The 8,961-nt window shown below is 37.8% G+C and overlaps 1 long non-coding RNA gene across 1 annotated transcript, besides 1 other annotated feature; it reads right to left on the bottom strand.

Moving 5' to 3' along the window:
• Positions 1–712: 712 nt before the first annotated feature.
• Positions 713–4,725, bottom strand: LOC107986105 (uncharacterized). The gene is made up of 3 exons (XR_001740817.1): positions 4,651–4,725; positions 1,108–1,361; positions 713–799 (listed from the first exon to the last, which is right to left on the bottom strand). It is a non-coding gene; the product is annotated as an uncharacterized LOC107986105 (long non-coding RNA).
• Positions 3,576–4,775: an enhancer, noted in NCBI's record as "MED14-independent group 3 enhancer chr3:102017651-102018850 (GRCh37/hg19 assembly coordinates)". NCBI's record gives its function as "activates an origin of replication core promoter dependent on BRD2, BRD4, P300/CBP and CDK7 cofactors, and independent of MED14, by STARR-seq in HCT116 cells {active_cell/tissue: HCT116}" and the evidence as "EXISTENCE:reporter gene assay evidence [ECO:0000049][PMID:35650434]".

The raw sequence follows: 8,961 nt of genomic DNA, 5'->3' as shown, positions 1-8,961 counted from the left end.
AAGTCTTGTCCATCTAGATGAAAAACACTTTTGGAAATTAAGTACTTTACATTCCACATCAATTGCTCTGTTATATTTGTTTCAATAAGTATATGTTTATTTTAATTTCTATGAAATCTCCCTTTTCTTTTTTTTTTACTTTTTCTTAGTGGCCTATTCTAACTATGTGAATGCAGTGTCCCTCAAATATCTCTTAAGATACAAATTAAATTGTTTCAGTAAGTTTTTCTATATTTCACCAGTAATTCAATTGTTTCAAGAATTACTTCAGTTTGTTTCGTTTGGTGGCTTATTTTTACGCTTTTTTCTTCAACATATGGAAATTCTGAGTTGTTCATTTATATTTATAAGTAGTTCATTTATATTTACAGGTTGCTAGTGTGAAAGTTACAGCTTCTTTGATAATGAACATGATTACAAATGATAGAAGCCATGACTATAGTTAGCGAGCTGGGCAGTATCTTAGTTCATTCAGGCTGCTATGACAAATTACCATAGATGCAAGGCTTAAACAACAAACATTTATTTCTCATAGTTCTGGCAGCTAGGAAGTTCATGATTAAGGTGCTGGCAGGTCCAGTGTCTGGCGAGGGCCTGCTTCCTGGTTCGCAGGAGGCCATCTTCTTGAGGTGTCCTCACATGGCAGAGAGCAAAGATAGAGGAAGCAAGTTTTTCTCACGTCTCTTCCTATGAGGCACTAATCCTGTCATTAGGATTCCACCTTCATAACCTAATTACCACCAGAGGCCCCATCTCATAATATTATCCCATTGGGATTTGGAGCTTCAACCTATGAATTCTGGGAGACACAAAAACGCAGTCATGTAGTGGATGGGAGTTTTTCATTAGAAGGTGAGCAAGTTTAGCCGTGTTGGCAGCTGACATTACCCAGGAGCACCATTCCACTTCTCTTTATAATTCCAGTACTCACTTTAAATATCTCTTGCCTATCCCCAGTGGCAGAATCCATCTGCTTCTTTATTACCTTTCAAACTGTTCGTGCCAGTTCTGTTGGAACTGGGTGGAAATGCTTTTTCCAGGTGCTTGAAACACCCCAGTTTCATTAGCCTTCCTATCAAATGCCACAAAGTTGAATACCTTCCTTACCTCTTCATAATTACGATCCCCGGGCTTTTCCAAAAATCTCCAAACTTTTCAAAGTTCTGTTTAAAATTGAACAAACTCCTTTCTTCTTCCACTGCTACTCTCTTTCATTTGTATTAACTGTACCTACCAGTTCTATTTGGTTATTTCATCAAACAAATCCTATCTGCTTTATATCATTCAGAAATGTTTTGCTTCAGCTGGTATCACTCTTCCACATTTCCTAGTGCTGCTTTAGTGTTTGCTTATTTTTCGCCCTGGTGGAACATTAAGGAAAGAAAAGTAAACGTATGTGCTTAGTAATCAAGAAGGCACTTAGCTCCCAAGTGGCCTTTTCTCTTTATTTTTCTTTTTTTGTTCCCTATTTATTTTTATTGTATTACTTTCACTGATTTAGTTTCTTTCATTTTGTTTTTATTCAAATACACTTATAAAAGCAGTACTGGCATAGGAATTAACAATTCCTTTATTCTAATCATGTTTCTGTGATTCCTGCCTGACACAGAGTAGGTACTCATTAAGTATTTTCGAGCAAATGAATACATGAAGCAAATTATCACACACTCCCCACCCCAGACTTCAGCTTTTCCAATGTGAAATTAGGAGGCCTCTGCAAGTAATAGCAAGCTATGGCTCTTCTTGGGCTTGATAAGAAAACATTTATCATCACCGAACATCAGGCACCAAGAGGGGAGAGGCAGCCAGTGTGTGAGCAAGAGCAACCTAAGACAGAAAACTGTGATCAAAAACCTAAAAGGAAACCTATGACATCAGAGTCTCAGAGGAGTTCAAAGCAACCATCATTAGGCTTAACAATTGACTCTCCGGTGGCTACAAAACTGTGATCAGGCCAGAGGGCAAGTGAGCACTGACTGAGTAAACTAAAAGAGCAAGATAATAACACAGTCTGCCTTTAAAAGGACGCATGTAAAGATCTTCTCCCTTTTCCCAAATTCCCTTCATAAAAACCAATGTAGAAAAAAGTCTCTAGGGCCCTAGGGCCTGAAAACCCAGCACTGAGAAATTATTTTAACCTCCTGGATGGGAGATCTATGAGCTGTATATCTGAACTTAAACACTGTCTGCAAGGTTGACAATGATGATAAGGTTCCCAAGTCAAATGGTAAGTCTGACACAATCAAACACAGCTGGGGTAACTCTATACCACATGTGGTCATCCGAAACTCTTCATTAGCAATGATATTGCTTAGCAAAACTAAAAGTCAAAATCACAACAATGTTTTCAGTGAGTCTTTTACATTTTGAATCACCTTGTTACCATACTATTTCTAAGAAATCTAAGTAAGGAAAAGGAAGAAATTACAAATTTTACATCTGCTTAATATAGTGATCTTCAAACACAGTCACCTGGAGTGCTTGTTAAAACACAGACTGCCAGTCCCCACCCTCAGTTTCTGTTTCAGTAGGTTTAGGATGAGATCCAAAAATTTGCATTTCTAACACATTCCCAAGTGATGGAGATACTGCTTATCCTGGGACTATACTCAGTAATTCCATAATGTCTGCTATATCTGAGTCTGGTTTTGGTGCTTACCTTGTTTTTTTCTTGCCTTTTGACATGTGTTGTAATTTTTTGTTGAAAACTGGACATGATTTATTGAATAATAGGAACTGAAGTAAATAGGCCTTTAATGTGAGTTTATATGTTTATCTGCCTAGCAGTTAGGCTGAATTTAATGTGTGGTACAGCTATAGGTGTCAGAGGCTTCAATCACCACCGGCGACCTTGTTTTTGTCTCCCATGTTGTCTTTGGGTTTCCCTAGAAACTCATTCTTAGATACAGTTTTTGTCTTTCAGTGATCCAAGTTGTAATTCACTGTTATTACGTAGGAGACCTATTGGTGTAGTGTGATGGTATTGAGGAGGGAAGCATTCTATAATATTATGATTAAATTGCTGTTTCTTATGGGCCTGAGTCCTCGGACTGCGACCTTCAGAAGTCTTTCTTAGCCTTTTTTTCTCCCTTATGTGAGGCAGAAAAGGTACAGAGGACTCGGTTGTCTAATTGCCCTTCCTCCACATAAGATAAGAGTCTAGTAAACTAGTTTTCCTTCAGGGCAGGACTTTGATATGAAGAACACACCGGGCTTATTTCAAAATGGTTACTTTTGCCCTGCCAAAACCACAAGGGGATTTTTCTCCAATCTTCACTAAAAGAATCTGGTAGGAATCTGCTACCATATGAACGTGTGTGTACCCCCAAAATTCATGTGTTAAAACCTAACCCCTAAATTGATTATATTAAGAATTGGGGCCTTTGGGAGGTGATTAGGTCATGAGAATGAATACATTATAAGATTTGAGGGAGACTGTTTGCCCCTCCTGCCATGTGAGGACTCTGCAAGAGAGACTATCTATCAGAAATGGGGCCTTCGCCAAATGCCAAATCTGCTGGAGACTTAATCTTGGATGTCCCAGCCTCCAGAATTGTGAGCAATAAATATATATTGTTTATAAGTTACCCAGTGTGGTATTTTTGTCATAGCAGCCTGAACAGACTAAGACAGGATCCCACAGATAAATCTCACAAAAGCATGACAGGTCCAGGTCCTCCTAAGACTGGGTTCCAAGAGTTTTTAACTCTCAAGCTTGTCCACACTCAGCTTCAGCAATTTTTCGGTTACCTTTAAGAAACACTCAAATGCTCCTACCCATTACTAGCTCCAGTGTTTGTGTTTCTGGCAAGCTGTGATTCTATTTGCCTGTCTCTTCAGCTTCCCAAATAGCAATTTACCCTGTCACCTCAATTCCCTGATAGACTAAGAAGAGTTGTTGAACTACATTGTTTCTTGTGGTGAGGACAGGTGAGACATTTCTAAGTTATTTACATGTGTAAGAAGAAACCAGAAGTCTGGACTGTTTGGGGACCACTTTAAGAACCACTGGTTTAGCGAGAAAATAGCCACCTTCAGTCAATCTCAGAATACATAAAAGCCTTAGGCTCCACTGCATAGCCTCCAATACCCACATTAATTTAATAATCATTTGTAGCATTATTTTCTTCCAGCCAATGTCCTTCATGTCAAAAATAATATGTGTCTCAGAAAAGGGAGAAGACCCAACACCCTTGATTGAGAGGTCTCATGTTGTACATGTCTGAGCCTGCCTCACCCTGAGTCACATCCTCACCCTAAACCACATCCTCAAGTGTACCTGTTGGAATGCTTTTAGCTGCAAGTATCAAAATACCTGACTCAAATGGTAGGAACAATAAGAAATGTTCTAACAATAAGTATTGACTACATAAGAGAGACTCTGAAGCATAATGGACTGCAGGGCAGGGGACCTAAAGGCTCAACTATGTCGTCAAAGCCACAGGTTCTTTCTACTTTCATCCTGCTATCCACACTCTATTTTATTCTAAAGTTGGCTCCCCTTATGTTTCCAGTAGGTTCTCAGTGACAAAAAAGGCTAAATGTTTTCCTCTTCATGTCCACTGGGAGAGAAAAAACTAGTTTTCTCCAGCACTCAAATAAATGCTCTTTCTTTTATACTTTTTGGGACAACTTAGGTCATATGCTTACCTCTAAACCGATACAGATGCTCCTGAACTTATGATGATGCTATATCCAGATAAACCAATTACACGTTGAAAATACTGTAAGTCAAAAATACATTTAATACAGCTGACCTACTGAACATTATAGCTTAGCCTAACCTACCTTAAACATGCTCAGAACATTTACATTAGCCTATAGTTGGGCAAAATAATGTAATACAAAGCCTATTTTCTAATAAAATATTAAATATATCATGTAATTTTTGAATACTGTACTAAAAATGAAAACAAAATGTTGTATGAGTATTTATCATTAATGTGCACAGCTAAAAGCACCATAGTAAAGTTGAAAAATTGTAAGTTGAACCATCGTAAGTTGGGAATCATCTGTAATTACTGCCACATGAAGCTCTGAGCCAATTGGCTTAGGCTTAGGTTCCTGAACCACCATATTCAAGAAGTATGAGACACATACTTTGTTTTAACTAATCAAGAACTAATGAGGAGCTCAGTCAGTTCTGCAAACTACAAATGAGAAAAGAAAGGATTCTTAGAGCATAGAACTTTTGACATAATTTTGACATGTGCTAATATGAGTCTAAATTTGAGAATACACACCACTAGTAACTGTGAATAATTCCAGTGACACACTTTTAAGACTTCCGGTCTTAAATATAAAAAGTGTCTTGGACACAACACCTATCATGCCCACTGAAGATATTACTCTAAAACATTCTCACAAGATGTGAAATCCCTTCTCCTTTCCTCAAAAATCTCCAATTGGCTTCACAACTATTTAACAGGAGAAACAAAATAAACTTTAGCATTCCCTTTGCCTTGGACTCCTTTAGAAAGTTGTAGAGCATTATTTTCCTTTTGTATTTCAGCAATTCTGTTTGCAGGCGGCTTCTTCTTTTTTTTTTTCTCTAAGCTGATCATTATGGATAAACATAAAATCTCTAAATAGATTTTCCTAGTCAGTTAACCATAATCTTGGGGGAAAACATAAGGTAGAATCATTATTAAAAACCATTCTCAGTAATACACACATCTTTATTATGTCAGTCTTTTGCCAAAAAAAATAAGATTGATAGTAAATTCCACTTAATTTTTTTCTTCACAGAATCAAGCCATCTGCCTCAAAACACACGACCAGCCTCTGTTAGATGAATTCACACATTTTAAAGCCCCGAAGTAACCATTTGAATGGAAATTGGACACTTCTTGTCATTTAGGAAGCTTTTTTAAACTGGAAAGGCTTCTCATTTGTTCAATTAAATGTGTGTGTATGCAATACACTTTATGAAATTTATCCCAAAACAGTGAGGGCTGAAATAATATTTGAAACAGATGGCACAGCTGCTGTATTTAGAGAGCTACCCATGGACATAGATGGGGACATTGAGGGAACTATGAAGTGCAAGCCAAAATATTGTACAATCAAGACTCTTAGTCACAGCCATTAAAGATGGGAAAATCTTTTTAATGTCAACCTCTTCCATAATGGAGGTGTGTGGAAAGTGCTACGATGTAAGTCAAGTGGAATTTATACCCTTTTCTGGATGAACTCTTTTCTTCTCAGTTGAGCCTTAAAATTTGAAAATGCTGGATCTGCTGCCTTGGAGTTTTCTCTCTCTTGAATACTATTTGAAAACGATGCTGAAAGTATCATTCCCCAGGGAATGTTAGACAGTGCCGTGTGCATAGCAGAGAAAAGCAAATTATAGTGTTTAAAGCTAGAGGGAGGGAACTGATGGAAACCACAGACATCATTTCTCTAGTGCCCTAATTTTATAGGTGAGGAAACAAAGGCCAAGGAGGGTTAAATGATTTCACCTCCACCCCACAGAACTGGTCTCTGGAGACTCACTCCCAGGCAACTTCCATCACAAATACTGTTAACTAAAAGGAAAGGAAAGTTTGGGTATTTTTTTTTATTTTATGCCATTTTGTTTCATTTCATTTTAAATAAGACTGTCACATCTTTTAAAATTCCATTACTTATGAGGCAGATTTAGAAAGGCAAAGTAGGGAAACAGATCAATTTTTTCTTAAAATTGTTTTGAGGCAAAATTATTTTACAAAAATGGAAGTCTATATGCTCTAATTTGGGGAAACTGTGTGTGAGAACAAGAAGTTTGGCTAGATTTTTCATTTCACATTAATCATGTGGACATAACTTGCACGTTGTTTTAAAACACCTGACAATTCTGCATATTAATCTAATCAAGGAGGCTAATTTTTAAACACAAAATTTTTGAACTCAGAATTCGTGAGTGGGTGTAATATGCCTGAGCAAGCCCCAATCTTCTGCCGTACATATAAGTCATAAGCAGTGACCAGAAGGAAAATATTCCAATATTCATAGCAACAATTCTTTTTAAATGCAGCAGTGTCTGGAGTCTGAAGGTTCACACATTTCCCTCTCTGTGATGGTTTTACAGACATGAGTATTGAAAGCAGATGCCTTCAGTTTCTCTAGTGGAGATCCCTGAGCTACTGAAAACGAGAAATCTCAGCAATCACATTCACGCTCCCATATTCTTCTACATTGAAAAGAAATGGGTAAAGCCTTTAATAAGAAAAGCAACAAATAACTAAGTTTATCCATCATCTTCTATGAAGCACTGCTAACGAAACAGAAATGAGCCATATCCATCTTCAGAGGAACTTTTCCCCAGTAGACAATGATTCTGTACTTCAGTGGAGTCCTCCTGGTGAGGGCAAATTGACTTTCTAAAAGATTCTTGGTTATTCCAGGGACAGAATAAAGTCACAGCCTGACATGTTAACCTCCCACTACATTTCTAAGACAGGATCTATACACCTGGAACAGAGAAAGAATTAGGGAAACTTCAGGTCACTTCAACAGAAAGTCTATTTAGGTCTGAATGACCCCAACAGTTGGATTATTTACTACCTTTGCCTCACCAATTATTTCACCATGGCTCTGTGAATGACAACAGTTAAAGGGTGTTTCTTTTTCTTTGATGTGGTCTTGTGTATTAGAAAACCTCACTGAAATTCATTCCTATGAAGCTCTACATCAGGATGTATAAGTCATCCATTCAAACACACACATTCATTCACATATCTGCTAATTTGGAAAGAGAGAGAAAAGGAGAATTTTATTTTGAAAAAGAAAAGCAGCACAGCAAACCTGTCTTTGAATTACTTTTACCATTTTGTTTTTCTATCAGTATACTGGAATGTCTATCCTAGGGCAACATGGATAACTAATCTATCCCATATTCATTCCTGAAAGTTCTAATTAATGATCCAGGAACTCATTCTAAGGTAAGAGAGCCTACCATTTGGTGTTCCGTGTCATTTAGGGTCATTTGCAATTGAATGCTGCAAAAGATGATTTGTGGTGCTGACTTGTACGTATTGTTCAAGTTATCTCATGTCAAACTACACACTCTATAAAGACTGTGAGAAACTGAAAGACAGAGATAAATAAAAGAGTTTTAACACAAAGACTTTATATGAAACAAGGAATGAAACGCTTTATTAGTCTCTAAATAAAGAATTGTAAGACAGATGAGGAGAGTGTCCATTCTTAATCTGTTTGATGATAGGAAGAAAAGCAAAGACTGCTATACAGAAGAAAAATGCCATCAACAATGAGTGATAAGTTCCCAAAGACCTGTGAAGGTCAGAGTAACAGTAAGAGGGGCCACAGCAGCAGGGATGGCCACTACCAGGTGATAACAGAGAATTTAAGCTTCCAAACAAAATATATAGGCCACTCTAAAAAATTAAAGTTGTGTTTCTTTATCCTCTACTATGCATTTGAAAGTCATCTGCTTCTATTTCTTGAAAGTCCACACTTTTCAACCCAGGTTAAGACCTTCTGTCACTTCTCCATGGGCCCCTGCTCCCTCCATACAACAACCTCCAAGCCTTACTATCAGGGGAAATTCAGCCAGATATTGGGCAAAATTCACCCCCGATATTTCACGTAGGTTCTTTTCTATTTTCCCTAAGCATCGGCCAGTTTGAGAAACAAAGGGACAGAGTACAAAAGAGAGAAATTTTAAAGCTGGGTGTCTGGGGGAGACATCACATGTCAGTAGGTTCCGTGATGCCTCACAAGCCGCAAAACCGCAAGTTTTTATTAGTGATTTTCAAATGGGAGGGAGTATACTAATAAGATGTGGGTCACAGAGATCACATGCTTCACAAGGTAATAGAATATCACAAGGCAAATGGAGGCAGGGTGAGATCACAGGACCACAGGACCGGGGCGAAATTAAAATTGCTAATGAAGTTTCGGGCATGCATTGTCATTGATAACATCCTATTAGGAGACAGTGTTTGAGAGCAGACAACC

Source organism: Homo sapiens, chromosome 3 (genome assembly GCF_000001405.40).
Source record: "Homo sapiens chromosome 3, GRCh38.p14 Primary Assembly".
NCBI classification, from domain to species: domain Eukaryota; kingdom Metazoa; phylum Chordata; class Mammalia; order Primates; family Hominidae; genus Homo; species Homo sapiens.
The sequence above is the reverse complement of the archived record's forward strand: the minus strand, read 5'-3'. Positions and strand labels throughout refer to the sequence as shown.